At 45.5% G+C, this 21,017-nt stretch overlaps 1 pseudogene, besides 2 other annotated features; it reads right to left on the minus strand.

The window, feature by feature from the left end:
- Positions 5,603–6,530: an enhancer, noted in NCBI's record as "H3K27ac-H3K4me1 hESC enhancer chrX:136509052-136509979 (GRCh37/hg19 assembly coordinates)". NCBI's record gives its function as "activates a minimal SCP1, AML or CMV promoter by ChIP-STARR-seq in naive H9 embryonic stem cells {active_cell/tissue: H9 hESC(naive)}" and the evidence as "EXISTENCE:reporter gene assay evidence [ECO:0000049][PMID:30033119]".
- Positions 6,531–7,457: an enhancer, noted in NCBI's record as "NANOG-H3K27ac-H3K4me1 hESC enhancer chrX:136509980-136510906 (GRCh37/hg19 assembly coordinates)". NCBI's record gives its function as "activates a minimal SCP1, AML or CMV promoter by ChIP-STARR-seq in naive H9 embryonic stem cells {active_cell/tissue: H9 hESC(naive)}" and the evidence as "EXISTENCE:reporter gene assay evidence [ECO:0000049][PMID:30033119]".
- RAC1P4 (Rac family small GTPase 1 pseudogene 4) lies at positions 19,757–20,741 on the minus strand (annotated as a pseudogene).

Consider the following 21,017-nt stretch of genomic DNA (forward strand, 5'->3'; position numbering starts at 1 on the left):
TTCTTCTACCTGGAACGTTCGCACACCAGGTCTTCATTAGACAAGCACTTTCTCATTCTTAAGACCTAAGTGCAAATATCATTTTTGCCAAAAACCACCCCGACCCTCCCATCCCGATCCAGTCAACTCTATTACAATGCTTGGTTTTATTGCCTTCATGACACTCACAATTTGTTAAATAAATGAATAAATGTACTGTCTTCTCAGGGACTGCATTAGGACGTAGTTAGAAGGAGGAGTGGAACCTTGTAAGGCTCTTTGCAACCTTTACTGGTGTTTAAAGATCAGAAACTTCTGTTTCAGAAATCTATTTTTATGCTGCTTGTTTATTCTATAATTGTTTCCTTTTATTTCCCCTTAGTGATTAGTAAAGTTCTCTTGGAAAATGTCAGTTCTCCCAGCTGTGCAAAGGAAAACACAGAAAGGGGTTTTTGTACCTAACTGGTCCTGAGTCAGAGGAACTAGAAGGGGGAGCATGAGAGTGGCATTCAATATCCAAGAAAGAGACCCCCAGGAGAGTGAGGAAGAACCAAGGACTGAGGGCACGGCAACAGCCTAGCGGTGCTTCTTCGGAAAATCGTCATGCTTTGCAGGTGATTGTTTTAATAAAGAAGGCTGAGCCCTTACCGCTCCCATCTGTCATGGCCATGGAACAGGAATCCCACAATGAAGAAGAGGGCTTCACACATTGCTTGGCACACAGTAAGCATCTAGTAACTAAACATAGCACACGCTTATCACTTGTCTACTGTGTGAGAGACACTGTGCTAAGCTCTAAGCATGCATTATCTAATTGAATCCTCACGTGGATCTTCTGAGGGTCTTTTTACAGAAAAGGAAACTGAGGCTCAGGGAGGATAAATGACTCTTCTGAGGTCGCAGAGCTAGTATATAGGATTTAAATCCAGGTTTTTGTTCTTAATAGCCTCCCTATTTGATGAATAATGAATCCCTGAGATCTTTGCTGATAATAAGATTATATGTTTTACAAAGTTCAGCCAAAAAGAAATAATTTGTATCAAAATCAAACACTGTAGAACCATGGTTCTCAACCATGAACAATTTTGGCCCTGAGGAGACATTTGGCAATTTTCAAAGACATCTGCTGAGTGGGTAGAAGCCAGGAATGCTGTTACACGTCCTAGAATGTACACGTCAGTTTGCCACAACAAAGAAATACGTAGTCCAAAATGTCCATAGTGACAAGGCTGAACAACTCTGCTGTAGAAAGAATGGTTAAGGCAAAGAGGAGAATATGTTTCATTTGTAAAAATGTATCAGAAGAAATGGAACAGTTCTGAATACCACTTTTTGTTTTCCCCTCATGATGCACTAGTCCAAACTTTAAATGTATTGTATATTTTTAATGATATTATCAATGAGGGTCAAAGTCAGCTCGCTCCTCTGAAAGCTCTCATTCTCCAAATAGAATAAAGCAAAATGTTGAACTACAGAACTGACCACCCATGATTCTGCCCACCAATACATTCTTTACTCCTTTAATTCCACATTAATCCAGGGTGGTAGACAGGGTTCAAAAATCTGTCTGAGCTCATGACTCTGGGCCAATCCTGACCTCTCGTTGCCATCTTACAGCAATGGCTTCTCCAACTGCTTCAGACACTGTGGTCCTAGTTACATGAATGGTAGCTTCAATTTTGATTAAAATTCTTAAGCCACAGTCATATTTCCCTTTGTCTTTGTGGTGAGCCTGCGTGAAATAAATGAATGCATCAGCACACACTGGAGCAAGGAGATGGGACTCTGACAATTCTAAGCTATTCACAAAGTTTTTCCATAATCGTGAATTCAGGGCACAGTTTGGATGGCCAGAAACAAATGGTTGCAACAACTCATCCTCGCACTCTTTTTTTCCCAAAAGGTTGACTATAACTATTGCTTTGTTAAACTTTATGAATTACATTTCAAAAGAGAAAATACCACTCTAATCCACTTGCTATTGATGACAGCAAGATTAACTGTTGCCTCAAACTCATGTCCCTCCCACAATGTCTAGCAAAGTATTTGTAAGTGTTACCCAGGGATCCACCCGCTCATTAAAAAGACCCATGTTGCAAATACCAGTCTGGAAACCTATTGGCTTCTAGAACAAATACAAATAAGCAGATTATGTCGTTTATCCCCTCTCTCTTTGTATCTGTAGCTAGATGTACAGAATAGAATGTGATAAAACAGGGTTTAAGGAAATAGTAGCATACAGAAATTTTGCTCTTGAGGAAAATACTTGTTTTAAGAAATAAAAGCACCAATATAAAAAGATTTGCCTGGGGCTAGGAGGAGGGAAGAATGGAGAGTGACAAAATTGATCGTGTAGAGGGTTTTATTTGGGGTTGAAGAACAGGTTTTGTAAGTAGGTAGTAGTGCTAGTTGTACAACATTGTGAATGCGCTAAATACCACTTCTAAATGGTTAATTTTGTTATGTAAATTGCACCAATTTTTTTTTAAGATCTCTAAATAGGGCTAATGAGATGTGTGGTTAGATAGTACATTTGACTTGGTGTTCACAGGGTTAACCTGCATTTCCATTATCACAAAATGCCTAATGCATGTTTGCATACTTAAGGTGTTAATACATATTATAGTTTTCTCCCCCTTTTTGATAAAAGAGAATTTAATAAAGGTAACCGAATTACCGAGAAATATAATCCAAAAATATGTCTTGGATTTTAAATTATTGGTGAACCTAACTACTGAGAATGTAAGATGTGTTCGGAATGTTTAGGTCAATTCCAGTCCTTAAGCTCTGTAATGAACAGCAGTAGGTCTTTTTTTTTTTTTTTTCAGCAGTAGGTCTTTCACTCACTGAGACCAATGTGATTTTTTTCCTACCTTGCATCTCTATTTCAGCTGAAAGGAAAAAAAAAAAGAAATTAAACAACAAATGGTCTTTTTGTTTATCACTTGCAAGTTGCTTTAGACAACTGGCTTTTTGTCCAGTTGTCTTGTTTATCTCTCCCTGTGTTATGGTGATAACCCAAGCATTCTAAAATCCCATCTGCAAAACCAGGTGGGAAACTAACACACCATTACTACATTCCTCTAGAGCCCATTTTAAAGAAGACTTTCACAGAAATAGATAAATCCTTTCTCCCTTCCAAGGCCAACATAACTCAGGGCAGCGAGTTCAGACAAAAATTTCATTTATGGTTGGGTTGCCTAATCCCATCCCCTCTCCTAAAGGCCAGTATACCTCTTGAGTTGTTTGATGTTTTGAGAGAGGTCCCTAAGTTGAGAGACAGATATCAATTGTTTTATATACACATAACACACACTGAGTCAGAGAAGTAGAAAGAAGTAACTCAGTGGGCCAGTGCTAAAATCTTTGCGAAGGAGATACAGGCACCCGCGAACGCGCGCGGGCGCGCACACACACACAAACACACACACAAATACGCACACGCACAGCCAATCTATATGGCCTAGTGCCTTCCCTCAGGCTGTCTTTTTCTACTCTCTTTTTGCCTGGATCCACGTGTTGGGGGAGGGGACCAGAGACAAAGTTCCGCAGTGCTTTCCTCCCCCTGCAACTCAAGCGAGGAGGTCGGGACTTCTCCTCCCCTCCCCCTCCCAGGAATGGCCCTAAGCATATCTCCTCCAGCTAAATCCTCCTTCCTCACCCAAGTCTGATTGATGCTAACTAATGTCGAGTTAGTTCCTTTAAAGAAGTTATCTTGCTACCAAGTGTGAGCCAGTCCATACCGGAGGTGGAGGACGGGGGGCGGGGGCCCGGGGGCGGGGGGCGGGGAGAGGGGGACGAGGACGGAAGGTGAGGAAATGGAGCTGGGAGTGGCACCTCACACCAAACAAAAACGACGATCGTTACATTGTATTTAATTTCTAATTAATCCTCAAGAGAAATATAGCCGTTTTCCTTACCAATGGATCCCTGTTCTTACTGTGGGTATCTCGCGCGCGCGAACGGTCCCCACCTTCCCGGAGCCTCGCAGCTCTAAGGAGAGCAAGGAGTCCCCAGATAACTATTTAGTATAAACAAACCGTGTGGCTTTAATGGAATTACCTCAGCCTGCTAGTAAATAATTTATAGTAGGCAGTAAATAAAATATGGTTTTACGTCTTTAAAAGAGTTGTCAAGTGGAAAACACCCACCAGAGGGACATAAACCCCGAAGACTGCCACGCTTAAAGACGCCGGTTGGGATGACAGCCGGGTGGAAAGACATGATTTTCTACCCCGAAGGAAGACGCGGGTGCTGCCAGAGCCAGAGCGGGCAGCTCTCAAAGAAGGTTCCCGCATGGAGAAGGAGCAGAGACAGCCTGTCTTTGTCACTTAGCAGAGGGGCAACGGATTAAAACGCAAAGGGAGGAGGTGCACTCTCATAATGGTACCTTCTACTTAAAAGCCTAGACGCTCTCAAATTCGTTATCACACTTAATCCTCGCCACCAGTCTTCCAGAAAGACCAGGCCGGAGCCGTGTTTCCCATTTTGCCGATGAATAAAAATAAGGCTCAGAGGCTAAGGGACAGTGGCTGTGTATGCTTGCTGGGCACTAAATGGGACGCGGGAATCTAGGTTTTTGCAGCTCTGGCCCGCGCAGTTCTTCACCCAGTGCCCCCAGGAGTAGCTCGCCTCTGACACACACACACACACACACACACACACACACACACACACACGCAGTCCAGCCCAGCACACTTGCCCAGTTTTACAACACTCCGGCATGTCTTCTTTTTTCGGTGACCTGAGAACCCTCTAATTAAATTTTCTGCCCCCCTCTTCCACGAATCACGCCCCTGGAAGGCTCATCCCCAATTCAGAGAGGAAGAAAGATTTATGAGCCTCTCCTCAAGGTTTCCCCCAAGACAACCTTGACCATGAAACTAGAATCTTGAACACTTGACCTAAATTTCCAAGGGCATCTGTTTCCGTCTGTAATTGTCACCAGGCTTCATTTGAAATTCGATCCTGTGTCACTAATGGTATTAACAGGAGCTGAGGTCCAACCTTCCAACGGGAGACTGTTGCATATGATTTTACATCCAAACGAAAGTAAATCAGTTTCTATAAACCTGCAGCAACCCCCTCCCTGAGTACAATAAAACTGTTGTCGCAATCAATAAATCTCTGGTTTGGGGCAATGAAAATTAGATAACTGTTCTCTCTCTCTTTCTGTCTCTTCTCCCCACCCCCCCACCCCCATTAAGACAAAGCCACTATTCAAAGAACGGGGCGTCTTGTTAACCATTTCTGAAGTCCCTCGCTGTACCCGGCGCCTTTCAGACACGCACCTCTCAGTCATAGGAGAAAACCAGACGTTTAATTACGGTGACTTTTGTTCGATCATTACGGATAATAAAGACAACCTTTTCGCTAGATAACAATTATAACGCAAGCTGCTCCAACACCTGCACGGATCGCATTTGTCTCCAGCGTGTTTTTTTTTGTTTGTTTTTTGTTTTTTTTTTTTTTACTTCTCTAAACTGCCTTTGAATTTCCCCTTCTCTTCTGACCAGAAAATTTAATATGTTGCAAGAGATAGATTTCACGAAAACGCGTTGTCCCTTCTGTAGCTACATCTGCTCCGACCTATTAAGAAAAGTAAGACATTTTGATACTAATTGCAAATAAATTGTGATGTGTTCACCGAGTAATTGATTTAATGAAGTTCATATGAAACTCCTGAGATTGGCCAAGTGAAAGGCCCCCTGGTGCTTCTATTGTGGAGGGAAAGGAAGGTTGGTTTTTCGTTTTCTTTCTTTAAAAAAAAAAAAATAGAGGTGGCTTGGAGGGAGGAAGGGGATGGGGGAGGGGGTGGGCACAGATGTTACCTCCACAGAGGCAGCTCCGTGGCGGGAACGAGCAGCCAGATAGTCCCTCCCTCCCGTCGGCGTCGGCCGCTAGCCGCCAGCCCGGCTAAACGAGGCGCAGGCTGCCGCTCCCAGCCTCGGGCCCCGGCAGTCGGTTGAGCGCAATTCAGGGGCAAACGTGGGCCAAGGAGAGGGTCAGTGCGCGGGCCGCCCGCGTCCTCCGAGTTGCCAAAGTTGCACAGGGCGCTGCCTCCGGATCCTGTTCCCTCGCTTCCTGAAGTGCTCGACGATGGCCTCTAAACCTCTTTATCCGGCTAGAGGCCCAGAGGCTAGGAGGGGCCCCCAGGCGGCTCTCCCCTGAGTCCCGGCGCCCAGGTCCCAGTTGAGGCCAGGGGAGAGGGCTGCGGTAGCTAGCACTACGCCACTCCGCGTGCGGGCCAGGGTCTCCAAGGTTCGGGTCCCGAGCTCACCCCACAAGCAAGAATATACGGACAATAAAGCCGCCTTCGGCCTCACGGGGGTTTTCCTTTTCAACCTTTCTGGCCAGCCACGTCGGCGAGTTAAAGGGCCGGGCGTGCATGAAGGGTACAGAGAGGGAATAAGACTTTTCTGAACACCTACTGTGTGCCAGACCCAGTGCTTCACAACAGTTCCCTTTCTCCAAGCAACGGTGGGAGGTATTATTGCTCCCTCTTAACAGATGTGGAAACTGAGATCGGACCCTTGACAGCAACGTGCCAACAATGCCCTGGCTACCCTGGGCCATCAACAAGCACGGCTCGTCGGAAAGGAGAAGGCAGATTCCCGCAAAACTGTCCCCAGTTTGCCCCAAAGCCCTCCAAATATTCCCCCCGGAGCATAGGGATACAAGGCAGAAACTGCCGCCGGGCCCCGCCCATATCTCCTAGTTGGCGGAGCACAGTCTCCTGCTCGAGTTTGAAATTTTTGTTTCGTTTTGTTTTAAAGAAAGAAGACCTCTTTTGAATAATCAGAGCCCTAGCTGAGCTAGCGAGTGGCTCCAAGCTCCTCGGAGTTGCCCTGCAGATGAACTTTCCCTGAGTTCTTCCTCCCGGGTCGCGGGTCCCCCTAATCTGGGTCCCAAAGTGCCCGCAGGAGACAGCGGTGCAAGGGTGGTCATGCTGACTCGGGTGTCGGGCGCCGCCAGAACCCACAAGCCAGAGTGCGTGGGAGACGGGGGCCGGAGGGATGCCCCCTCCACCCTCTCAGCCCACTTCTGGGAGGCCGCACCCGCTCTGCGCCTTGAAGAGACCGCCCGCAGCGCGAAGGCGGGTCCTCACCCGAGGATGTGGCGAAACGCTTAACACCCAGGCAAATGCAAATGGTCAACGCTGGGGTCTGACCGAGGCCAAATTATCTCCCCAAGAGGCAAAAGCAGGCGCGAATGAAGGCGAAGAGACCAGCCCCTCGCTTTCCGTTTCGACATTTGCAACTGTACAGCGCTCCACCCCCAGCCCGGGGGGAGGGGGGCTGGGAAGCCAGCAGGGCCTGCCTGGGCCGGGCCGCCAGAATGCCACCTTGTTCTGGGTGGAAACTGGACACTAAGTGCCCAGCCTGCTTCTTCCAGGGAGCTCCGACACCACGCTCTATCAGAACGTGTCCGGCGCTGGCCCACCCTTGCCGCTGCTCATGGCCCGCCGTATTCGTTGTTCGGCCCGAAGAACTTCCCCTTTTGCTTTGATGCGGGCTTTTCCTATGTTTTTCGGGACCCAGAACGAGGAAGGGCTAGGCCATCTCGCCCTAGCACGGGGGAACCCAGCTAGATGTCCTTGACCCCAGGGTTAGCGTTTCTGGGACCCAAGAGAGGTCTCATGGATGTCTGGGCCCCTTCCCTCACCTCTGGGTCCTGGAGTAGGTGAACTGGAAGCAACTCTCTCCCGCTCCATGTGACAAGTACACTTTCTTGGGTCGCAAGTCCGAGCCCTCCCCTCCTGTTCATCACAAACGGCGGCCGCAAGGGCCCGGGGCGTCGAGGAAGGGGTGGGCTACAGCGCCGCGGGCTAGGGAGGCCACGGGGCATGGGCCACAAGGATCTTCGGGATTGTTGAGGGAGGCGCCCGTTGGGAGAGAAAAGTTAGAATCTGAGCTTGGCCAGCCGGGATTGTTTCGGGATGACCTTTTCTTCCCAATAAGTGGGCACCAGCTGCTGATAAAGGCGGGAGAGGGACACTCAGCCTTTGTGAACACTTTCCACATTCCTGGGGCCAGGAGATTGACAGGGGCCTTAGAGGGTATGGAGCTCGCGGCATCCCGCTTAGTTTGAAGTTGCAGCCTTCGCACCCCAAGACTTCCCCCTTCCCCAGGGATCAGCTGCAACCCCAATCCAGGCGGCCCGCTCCCCCTGCCGCAGCGCCCCCTACGGTCTGGAGGTGGGCCCTGAAAGGTTCCGACGGGCGCGGGGAGCCCAGGGGTGGGGGCCGGGGAGGCCGAGGGAAGCTGGTGTGCTCCGGTCCCCGTCTGAGAAGCGGTCACCCGCTGGGGCTTGGCTTCTGAAAGTGCGATTTAGGTAGCTGGGAGTGGAGATTTACGATCCTGGAGGACAGAGCGTGAAAGGGTTATCATCATCAGTTTTGACTGAAAGAAAGAAAACATATCTTTAACAAAAAGAAGGGCTCTTGCCATTCACCCGCGTTGTTAGGACAACGTGAACTATCCTTGAAATGATTAGTTCCACTTCAAAGGAATTTACATTCAACAGTGAAAACTCAGCCTCTTTTTATTTATTCGAAAAGACTTTTCACTACGGAGAAAAGTCTTTCCTGCTATTTATTTTTCCGCGTTCACGGTGCACTTGTATTAAATCAACAGAGACCGCGCAACGCACTCAGTATGCGGACCAGTCCAGGGTTCCGGGGACGCAGGGGTACAGGTAGAGCGGGGGAGGGGGTTGTTGGGGTTGGGGTTTGCACCACGCAGGCACCTGCCTGGCCCAGGGGATGGGGTGGGAAGCAGTGGATCAGGTCTGGGGCCGTGGGGGGAATGCAACCGAAGAAACCTCACCCAAGCCCAGCCCAAGTGCAGTAATCAGAGATTTTGAATGCTCGCGATTCTCATAGAGCCTGGCACTCTCTACGTCATTTGTGGAGAAAGTGGACCTGAAGTTCCCCAGCGACACCTTAGGAACATCTGTTAAAAACTGATCAGGTTGGCGTAACTTCGCTGGGCAAAATTAAAGCCTATCTCCACAAATTGAGAAGACAAATCCCACCTCTTAGTAGCTTGGGACGTTTGCTCACACACACTCTCTCAGGGCCCACACCTCCGCGCCCCACCCCCCACCCTCAGGTCGCCAATTGTCGCCAAATCCAGGAAACCTCTACCCAAAGGAACAACAGCACTAAGTTTACGAGCGGCGCGTCCTCCCGGGGCGGGGGAGGGGGCGGGGGAGGGGGTGGGGAGTTGGGGAATGCTACCCCTCTAACTGTCCCCGGAGTGCCTTGAGCTGTGGCTGGAATACTTCCCACCTCCTCCGGAAACGAGCAGCAGCAACCAACTCTCAGCTTCACCTCACACACCCACCCGCCCAACCCCATTCCCACCTCCCGCAGCAAAATCTTTTCTTCAACCCAGGGCTAAGTTTTTCTCACCAAGGACAATGATGTTAAGCTTTCCCTTGATGGTCTTTTCCAGCTTCTAATTAAATAGGAAAAAAAAATCTGGGTTGGACATTGGATTCAAGTTTTTCTACCATTCCTTAACATATCTGGATTTGTACCTGGCAACTGGCCCCATATCTTGAAATATTGTCAACATGAATCGTAACAGTTGTCCTTTCTAACACAGTTTTTGGACGGCTCCTCAGTAGGTTCAGAAGCAGTGACCACAGGCTGCTTGGCTGGGAGTTAAAGGTGGCCGCTGTTTGCCACCTGGTAACAAAGGTGTAAGTTGGAGCAGTGACTGGGGCAAGCCCTTATTCTCCTGTGTTTCAGGTTGAATAAGAACTCAGGTTTTGTTCACCATTCTGGAGCTACTCTCATGTTCCTTCTTCCTCCTGGATCTTCCTGGGCTTATTTCACCTTCTTGGTCTGAAGGTTTCCTTTGTTTCTTCTCTTGCTCAAACCTAATCCTGAGGCATCCCCTGCTCCCTCTCTATCTCTATCCCCTGCTCCCTCCCTATCATCTCCTGTTCCCTCTCTATCTCCCTCCCTATCTCTCTAAATCTCTCTGGGACATTTCCTGTCCTTCATGAGGAATCAAACTACAGTTACACTTGAGTCAGAATCCCAAGCAGGAATGTGGATTTGCCAACTCTCCCAGGTGGTTGAAGAGAATGTGCAGAGAATCATGAGATTCCAACCCCCATCCAGCCCCATTCCCAACTAGATCTATGCCTTAATTCTAACACTGAGCTCCTAGAGACTTTCAAATGGGTTGATGTTTGTTCCTTAGTGGTATCTACTTTTCTCTGCAGGTGGCAAACAAATTCCAGTGTCAGCACCAAGGTCTGTCTTTGTGGGGTTGTATGTAGCTTTAGAGGTGCCTCTCTTGATCTCAGGCAGTGAAGAAAGAAAAAAAAGAAAAAGAAGAAAGAAAAGAGAGAAAGGGGAAAGAAAAAGAAAGAAAGAAATAGAAAGACAGGAAGGAGGGAGGGAAGGAAGAAAGAAAGGAAGGAAGGGAGAAAGAAAGAAAGGAAAGAGAGAAACAAAGGAGGGAGGGAGGGAAGGAAGGAAGAACAAAGGAAGGAAGGAAGAGAAAGACAGCAAGAAAGAAGGAAGGAAGGAAAAGAAAGAAAGGAAGAGAAAAAGAGTGAGAAGGAAGGAAGGAAGGAAAGAAAGAAAGAAAGAGAAGAAGAAAGAAAGCAAGGAAGGAGGAAAGGAATAAAAAAAGGAAGGGAGGGAGAAAGCGAAAGAAAGGAAAGAAAGAGAGAGACGAGAGAAAGAAAGAAAGAAGGGAGGGAGGGAGAGAAGGAAGGAAAAGAAAGAAAGAAAGAGGAGGGAAGGAGGGAGGGAGGGAAGGAAGAGAAAGAAAGAAAGGAAAGAAAGAGAAAAAAGAAAGAGAAAGAAGAAAGAAAAAGAAAGAAAAAAGAGAAATAAAGAAAGGAAGGAAGGAAGGAAAGAAATAAGAGAAAGAAAGAAAGAGAGAGAGAATATGAGAAAGGGAGTGGGAAAGGAGAGGCCCTGATAGAAAGCAATGCTGGGAGAGTGCAGCCAGGCCTCCAGCTGAAAAGGCTTGAGAATGAGAGGCTTGCAGCTCCCAAGGCAGCTCTGGTGGGGGGAGGGTAGGAAGAGGCATGTGAGAAAAGTGACACATCCTAAAGCACACCCCAGGAGAGCTAGGGATCTAGGAAGCACTCAAAATGTATTTCCAATTACTTTTCATGCTCTCAGAAAAGGGGCTCCTTTTAAGTTCTATTTTAAAAGCTTGTTATTGTACTGAGTTATAGTCCACATTTTAAAGCACTGTTTATATGTTTTAACTTTTTATGTAGAGTGGGAGGATGGTAAATGTTAGAAATGTAGTTTTCTGAAAAAATATGTAGAAAATCAGAACTTGGAAACTTCTTTAATAATAGCTTCTTTCCTCATTATAAGGACTAATACAAAGTATCAAAGACATTGATTTGCCATAACATTTTAAGAGTCTTTATAAGAGATAAATAAATTCTTGTTCTTGCCTTGGTTCCATGTAAGGTATCTCTCAGGTAGCTGAGGCTCTAAATGTGCAAGTATGAGTTGTTTGGACATGACTGCAGAGCAGACATCCAGTCAGCAGAGGGCACACTCGTCACTCTCAAACCCTATTTCCAGATTTGGAGGTGACAATGGTAGGTACAGGCAAGAATGGTGGGCATAATCACATTGGAATAGGGCTCAAGTGGAGATCTAGAAAATGAGAATAGTCATTTTCTCTTGAAAGTAAACACAAAGACAGCTCACACACACTCTCAAGAGAGGACATATTGATATGTTTGACAACCATGGAGTCCCCCCAAAATAAAAGTGTCTCAGGACTGGAAAAAAGGGCCTTTAAAAATCTTGGTTTGGCTGACTGGCAAGATGGCCGAATAGGAGCAGCTCCGGTCTGCAGCTCCCAGGGAGATCAACACAGAAGGCAGGCGATTTCTGCATTTCCAACTAAGGTACCCAGCGCATCTTATTGGGACTGGTTAGACAGTGGGTGCAACCCATGGAGGGTGAGCCAAGACAGGATGGGGCATCACCTCACCCCGGAAGTGCAAAGGGTCTAGGAACTCCCTCCCCATAGTCAAGGGAAGCCATGAGGGACAGTGCCATGAGGAAGGGTGCATTCCGGTCCAGATACTATGCTTTTCCCACGGTCTTCAACATGCAGACCAGGAGATTCCCTTGGGTGCCTACACCACCAGTGCCCTGGGTTTCAAGCACAAAACTGGGCAGCCATTTGGGCACTGAACTAGCTGCAGGAGTTTTTTTTCATACCTCAGTGGTGCCTGGAGCACCAGCGAGACAGAACCATTTACTCCCCTGGAAAGGGGGCTGAAACCAGGGAGCCAAGTGGTCTAGCTCAGCAGATCCCACCCCCAGAGAGCCCAGCAAGCTAAGATCCACTGGCTTGAAATTCTCGCTGCCAGCACAGTAGTCTGAAGTGGACCTGGGACACTCAAGCTTGGTGGTGGGGGGAGGGACGTCCGCAATTACTGAGGCTTGAGTAGGCGGTTTTCCCCTCACAGCGTAAACAAAGCTACCAGGAAGTTTGAACCAGGCAGAGCCCACCGCAGCTTGGCAAAGCCGCTGTAGCCAGACTGCCTCTCTAGATCCTCCTCTCTGGGCAGGGCATCTCTGAAAGAAAGGCAACAGCCCCAGTCAGGGGCTTATAGATAAAACTCCCATCTCCTTGGGACAGAGCACCTGGGGGAAGGGGTGGCTGTGGGTGCGGCTTCAGCAGACTTAAACCTTCCTGCCTGCTGACTCTGAAGAGAGCAGCAGATCTCCCAGCACAGCCTTTGAGCTCTGCTAAGGGAGAGACTGCCTCCTCAAGTGGGTCCCTGACCGCCGTGCCTCCTGACTGGGAGACACCTCCCAGCAGGGGTCAACGGACACCTCATATGCTGGCATCTGGTGCATGCCCCTCTGGGATGAAGCTTCCAGAGGAAGGAACGGGCAGCAGTCTTTGCTGTTCTGCAGCCTCTGCTGGTGATACCCAGGGAAACAGGGTCTGGAGTAGACCTCCAGCAAACTCCAGCAGACCTACAGCAGAGGGGCCTGACTGTTAGAAGGAAAACTAACAAACAGAAAGGCATAGCATCAACATCAACAATAAGAACGTCCACACAGAAACCCCATCCGAAGGTCGCCAACATCAAAGACCAAAGGTAGATAAATCTATGAAGATGAGGAAAAACCAGTGGAAAAAGGGTGAAAATTCCAAAAACCAGAATGCCTCTTCTCCAAAGGATCACCACTCCTCACCAGCAAGGGAACAAAACTGGACAAAGAATTCGTTTGATGAATTGACAGAAGTAGGCTTCAGAAGGTGAGTAATAACAAACTCCTCTGAGCTAAAGGAGCATGTTCTAACCCTATGCAAGGAAGCCAAGAACCTTGAAAAAAAGTTAGAGGAATTGCTAACTAGAATAACCAGTTTAGAGAAGAACATAAATGACCTGGAGGAGCTGAAAAACACAGCGCAAGAACTTCCTGAAGCATATACAGGTATCAATAGCTGAATTGATCAAGCAGAAGAAAGGATATCAGAGATTGAAGGTCAATTTTATGAAATAAAGTGTGAAGACAAGATTAGAGAAAAAAGAATGAACAGGAACAAATAAAGCCTCCAAGAAATATGGGACTATGTGAAAAGACCAAACCTACATTTGATTGGTGTACCTGAAAGTGACAGGCCAACATTCAAATTCAGGAAATACAGAGAACACCACAAAGATACTCCTTGGGAAGAGCAACCCCAAGACACATAATCGTCAGATTCACCAAGGCTGAAATGAAGTAAAAAATGTTAAGGGCAGCCAGAGAGACAGGTTGGGTTACCCACAAAGGGAAGCCCATCAGACTAAGAACAGATCTCTCTGCAGAAACCCTACAGCCCAGAAGAGAGTGGGGGCCAATATTCAACATTCTTAAAGACAAGAATTTGCAACCCATAATTTCCTACCCAGCCAAACTAAGATTCATAAGCAAAGGAGAAGTAAAATCCTTTACAGACAAGCATATGCTGAGAGATTTTTTCACCACCAGGCCTGCCTTACAAGAGCTCCTGAAGGAAGTACTAAATATGGAAAGGAAAAACCAGTACCAGCTACTGCAAAAACATACCTAATTGTAAAGACCATTGACACTATGAAGAAACTGCATCAACAAATGGGCAAAATAACAAGCTAGCATCATAATGACATGATCAAATTCACACATATCAATATTAATCTTAAATGTAAATGGGCAAAATGCCCCAATTAAAAGACACAGACTAGCAAATAGGATAAAGAGTCAAGACCCATCAGTGTGCTGTATTCAGGAGACCCATCTCATGTGCAAAGACACACGTAGGCTCAAAATAAAGGGATGAAGCAATATTTACCAAGCAAATGGAAAGAAAAAAAAAGCAGGGGTTACAATGCTAGTCTCAGATAAAACAGACTTTAAACCAATAAAGATCAAAAAAGACAAAGAAGGGCATTACACCATGGTAAAGGGATCAATGCAACAAGAAGAGCTAACTATCTGAAATACATATGCACCCAATACAGGAGCACCCAGATTCATAAAGCAAGTCCTTAGAGACCTACAAAGAGACTTAGACTCCCACACAATAATAGTGGGAGACTTTAACATCCCACTGTCAATATTAGACAGATCAACAAGGCAGAAAATTAACAAGGATATTCAGGATTTGAACTCAGCTCTGGACCAAGTGGACCTAATAGACATCTACAGAACTCTCCACCCCAAATCCACAGAATATACATACTTCTCAGCACCTCATTGCACTTATTCTAAAATTGACCACATAATTGGAAGTAAAACACTCCTCAGCAAATGCAAAAGAATGGAAATCATAACAAACAGTCTCTCAGACCACAGTGCAATCAAATTAGACCTCAGGATTAAGTAACGCACAGAAAACCGCACAACTACCTGGAAACTGAATAACCTGCTCCTGAATGACTACTGGGTAAATAACAAAATTAAGGCAGAAATAAATAAGTTCTTTGAAACCAATGAGAACAAAGATATAATGTACCAGAATCTCCGGGACACAGCTAAAGCAGTGTTTAGAGGGAAATTTATAGCACTAAATGCCCAAAGGAGAAAGCAGGAAAGATCTAAAGTCGACACTCCAACATCAAAATTAAAAGAATTAGAGAAGCAAGAGGAAACAAATTCAGTAGCTAGCAGAAGACAAGAAATAACTAAGATCAGAGCAGAACTGAAGGATATAAAGAGATGAAAAACCTTTCAAAAAATCAATGAATCCAGGAGCTGATTTTTTGAAGATTAACAAAATAGATAGACCACTAGCCAGACTAATAAAGGAGAAAAGAGAGAAGAATCAAAGAGACACAATAAAAAATGATAAAGGGGAGATCACCACTGGTCACACAGAAATACAAACTACCATCAGAGAATACTATAAACACCTCTATGCAAATAAACTAGAAAATATAGAAGAAATGGATAAATTCCTGGACACACACACCCTCCCAAGACTAAACCAGGAAGAAGTCAAATCCCTGAATAGACCGATAACAAGTTCTGAAATTGCGGCAGTAATTAATAGCCTACCAACGAAAAAATGCCCAGGACCAGATGGATTTACAGCTGACTTCTACCAGATACCATTCCTTCTGAAACTATTTCAAACAATAGAAAAAGAGGGACTCCTCCCTAATTCATTTTATGAGGCCAGCATCATCCTGATATGAAAACCTGGCAGAGACACAACAAAAAAAAGAAAATTTCAGGCCAATATCGTTGATGAACATCCATGCAAAAATCCTCAATAAAATACTGGCAAACCGAATCCAGCAGCACATCAAAAAGCTTATCCACCACAATCAAGTCAGCTTCAACCCTGGGATGCAAGGCTGGTTCAACATACACAAATCAATAAATGTAATCCATTACATAAACAAAACCAATGACAAAAACCACACGATTATCTCAACAGATGCAGAAAAGGCCTTTGATAAAATTCAACACCCCTTCATGCTAAAAACTCCCAATAAGCTAGGTATTGATGGAACGTATCTCAAAATAATAAGAGCTATTTATGACAAACCCACAGCCAATATACTGAATGAGCGAAAGCTGGAAGCATTCCCTTTGAAAACTGGCATAAGAAAAGGATGCCCTCTCTCACCACTCCTATTCAACATAGTATTGGAAGTTCTGACCAGGGCAATCAGACAAGAGAAAGAAATAAAGGGTATTCAAATAGGAAGAGAGGAAGTCAAATTGTCTCTGTTTGCAGATGACATGATTGTATATTTAGAAAACCCAATCATTGGTCAGGCATGGTGGCTCACACCTGTAATCCCAGCACTTTGGGAGGCAGAGGCGGGGGGATCATCTGAGGTCATGAGTTCAAGACCAGCCTGGCCAACCTGGTGAAACCCCATTTCTACTAAAAATATGAAAATTAGCTGGGTGTGATGGTGGATGCCTGTAATCCCAGCTACTCCGGAGGCTGAGGCAGGAGAATCACTTGAACCTGGGAGGCAGAGGTTGCAGTGAGCTGAGATCACGCCATTGCACTCCAGTCTGGGTGACAGAGCGAAACTCTGTCTCAAAAAAGAAAAAAAAAAAGAAAGAAAGAAAAAGAAAACCCAATTGTCTCAGCCCAAAATCTCGTTAAGCTGATAAGCAACTTCAGCAAAGTCTCAGGATAAAAAATCAATGTGCAAAAATCACAAGCATTCCTATACACCAATATTAGGGAAACAGAGAGCCAAATCATGAGTGAACTCCCATTCACAATCACTACAAAGAGAATAGAACACTTAGGAATACAATTACAAGGGATATGAAGGACCTCTTCAAGGAGAACTACAAACCACTGCTCAAGGAAATAAGAGAGGACACAAACAAATGGAAAAACATTCCATGCTCATGAATAGTAAGAATCAATATCGTGAAAATGGCTGTACTGCCCAAAGTAATTTATAGATTCAACGCTATTCCCATCAAGCTACCATTGACTTTTTTTTTTTTTCCCGTCTTCGTGTTTATTTCTTTCATCTTTTCCATTTTACGAGAGATGCTCATTTCAACAACCAGATGGCAGATGTGACGGGAGAAGTGTCAAGGCCAGGAGTTTGAGACCAGCGTGAGCAACAGAGCAACACAAGTAGGAGAGCCCAGCTGAAAGAAATGGAAGATGAGGAGGAGGAGGAGGAGGAGGAGGAGGACAAGGGGGGTGCGGGGGGGAGACTTTCTTCACAGAATTATAAAAAACTACTTTTAATTTCATATGGAACCAAAAAAGAGCCCGTATAGCCAAGACAATCCTAAGCAAAAAGAACAAAGCTGGAGGCTACCTGACTTCAAACTATACTACAAGGCTACAGTAACCAAAACAGCATGGTACTGGTACCAAAACAGATATATAGGCCAATGGAGCAGAACAGAGGCCTCAGAAATAACACCACATATCTACAACCATCTGATCTTTGACAAACCTGACACAAACAAGCAATGGGGAAAGGATGCCCTATTCCATAAATGGTGTTGGGAAAACTGGCTAGCCATGTGCAGAAAACTGAAACTGGACCCCTTCCTTACACCTTATACAAAAATTAACTCAAGATGGATTAAAGACTTAAATGTAAGACCTACATCCATTAAAAACCCTAGAAGAAAACCTAGGCAATACCATTCAGTACATAGGCATGGGCAAAGACTTCATGACTAAAACCCAAAGCAATGGCAACAAAAGCCAAAACTGACAAATGGGATCTAATTCAACTAAAGAGCTTCTGCACAGCAAAAGATGCTATCGTAAGAGTGAATGGGCAACCTAAAGAATGGGAGAAAATTTTTGCAATGTATCCATCTGACAAAGGACTAATATCCAGAATCTACAAGGAACTTAAACAAATTTACAAGAAAAAAACAAACAACCCCATCAAAAAGTGGGTGAATGATATAAACAGATACTTCTCAAAAGAAGACATTTATGTGGCCAACAAACATATGAAAAAGAGCTCATCATCACTGGTCATTAGAGAAATGCAAATCAAAACCACAATGAGATACCATCTTACACCAGTTAGAATGGCAATCATTAAAAAGTCAGGAAACAATAGATGCTGGAGAGGATGTGGAGAAATAGGAATGCTTTTACACTGTTGGTGGCAGTGTAAATTAATTCAACCATTGTGGAAGACAGTGTAGCAATTCCTCAAGGATCTAGAGCCAGAAATACCATTTGACCCAGCCATCCCATTACTGGGTATATACCCAAAGGATTATAAATCTTTCTACTATAAAGACACATGCACATGTATGTTTATTGCAGCACTATTCACAATAGCAAAGACTTGGAGCCAACCCAAATGCCCATCAACAATCGACTGAATAAAGAAAATGTGGCACATATACACCTTGGAATACTATGCAGCCATAAAAAAGGATGAGTTCATGTCCTTTGTAGGGCCATGGATGAAGCTGGAAACCATCATTCTCAGCAAACTAACACAGGAACAGAAAACCAAACACCCCATGTTCTCACTAATAAGTGGGAGTTGAACAATGAAACACATGGATGCAAGGAGGGGAACATCACACACTGGGGCCTGTCGGGGGGTGGAGGGCTAGGGGAGGGATACCTAATATAGATAACGAGTTGATGGGTGCAGCAAACCACCACAGCACGTGTATACCTACTTAACAAACCTGCACGTTCTGCACATATAGCCCAGAACTTAAAGTATAATTTAAAAAAAAATCTTTATTTGACTGGTTTGAGGTCAAAGTATTCACTGAATGGAGACATGATGTTCACTGTTTGTCCGTGATATCTTAAAACACATAGGCCTTCTTAGAACCAAGAGGAATGCCATAAAATTCACTGAACATGACACTGAAAGCCTTTGGTTCTAGTACCTTTTCTGTCAGTTCTTAGGCAAGTCAATTCCCCTCTCTGAGTTTCAGTTTCTTCATTTATAATATAAAAGAGTGGAAATGGAACTAGATTATCTCTAAGGTCCCGTCTAATGGTACGTGATTCTGGGAACAAAATGAAATCTGAGCCCACTTAGAATTTGTCCTCACATTCTAGAATCTCAAACTACAGTTCCTAGAAGAGTCACATGCAGGCAGGGTTTTGAAAATAGCAAGCAATTCTGACTGCTTTGTGATGCTAACATTTTGTATTATCCAGCCTATGAGCTCTTTTGTGAATAACACTTGATATTGCATGGTGAAAATGATAGAAGCCAAGATGCTCTCAGGCTGGACACTGGCAGCAAATAGGTTGTAAGTAGAAATACTTGAGGAGAAGAAAGCCAGAGACCAAGGCATTGCTCACACTGGGGAGGCTGAGGTCTTGAGATAAGGCCAGAATATTAATGTTAGTAGACCCCTAACATTCTCCTGGGTTAGATCTGGAGACCATTGGGAACCCTCAGATTTAAGATTGCCACTTTCATTTCTGTTGTCATATTTGTGTTCCTCAGGATTTTTTTTTTCTGTTGCCTGAGCTGGAGTGCAGTGGCACAATCTTGGCTCACTGCAACCTCTGCCTCCTGGGTTCAAGCGCTTCTCCAGCCTCAACCTCCTGAATAGCTGGGAGTACAGGCGCACACCGCCACGTCTGGCTAATTTTTTGTATTTTAGTTGAGACGGAGTTTCACGTTTTTGCCCAGGCTGGTCTTGAACTCCTGAGCTCAGGCAATCTGTGGGCCTCGGCCTCCCAAAGTGCTGGATTACAGGCGTGAGCCACCGACCCGGCCTCTTCAGGCCTTTTTGAAATAAATTAAAGTTCTGGTTTTCCTCTGATTAGTAATTTTTTTTTTCCATTTTAGGGCTAAATTTTAATAGAATGTGAGTCTGAACTCTTACATTTAGAACAAACAAAACCTAAAAGATACTGATTGATTCAAAATGGATTTATGGAAAAATTAATCTGTAACAAAAAGTTGGCATTGAGTGCAAAGGCTCCACCGTTTTTTGAGCAAAGCGAACAAAGGTTCCAAGGGACAGGACCAAGAACTAGGGGCTCAGACATTTACAACTGCAGGCATTTTCTCTTCCTCTTCTTCACGGGAGGTGGGCAGAGGACAGCTCGGATCGCTTCGTCAAACACTGTCTTGAGGCCTCGCCTTGTGAGGGCCAAGCACTCCAGGTATTTTACAGCACCCATCTCCTTAGCCATGGCTAGACCCTGCGGATAGGTGATGGGAGTTAGCTTCTTCTCCTTCAGTTTCTGGATCCTGTCTTTATCATCCCTAAGATCAAGTTTAGTTCCCACTAGGATAATGGGAGTGTTGGGACAGTGGTGCTGCACCTCAGGATACCACTTTGCAAGGACATTTTCAAATGATGCAGGACTCACAAGCGAAAAGCAAATTAAGAACACATCTGCTTGCGGATAGGATAGGGGGCGTAATCTGTCATAATCTTCTTGTCCAGCTGTATTCCATAAGCCCAGATTCACCAGTTTTCCATCTACCATAACATTGGCAGAATAATTGTCAAAGGCAGTAGGGATATCTTCTCCAGGAAATGCGTTGGTTGTGTAACTGATCAGTAGGCAAGTTTTACCTACAGCTCCGTCTCCCACCACCACACCCTTGATGGCCTGCATCTGGGCCGCTCGCTGGGCCGCAGCTGCTGCGGCAGGCGCTGAGACCGGAAGCGGCGGGCTCGGGGCGCGGCGGACAGGCGCGAGGCTTGCGGGCGGCGGGGCGCTGGGTGCCAGGGCCTCTGTCTACGCTGCCTTGGCCTCCGCGGACTGGAAGCTGAAGTCTGGCAGCGGCCACCACCCAAAGCAGAGGAAAACCCCTCTGATGAGTAATTTTATACTGATTTGAACACCTGAAGCAATTGCTTGAATTGAGGTTTCTTGTTGCTGTCTAAATCACATAACAAACAGACCTGTTTACCATGGAGAGTACAGCCACCACTGATTTTATTATTCCACTCTTTAATTGGCATGAAACTTCTAACATTGACAACAACAAAGCCATGTACAGTTATGTATGCTGCACTAGCTCACTGGCTGAACTGCTTAAGATATGGCGTGAATAGATGAAATCATCAAATCCCCGAAGGCCTA

Source organism: Homo sapiens, chromosome X (genome assembly GCF_000001405.40).
Source record: "Homo sapiens chromosome X, GRCh38.p14 Primary Assembly".
In the NCBI taxonomy this organism is placed as follows: Eukaryota; Metazoa; Chordata; class Mammalia; order Primates; family Hominidae; genus Homo; species Homo sapiens.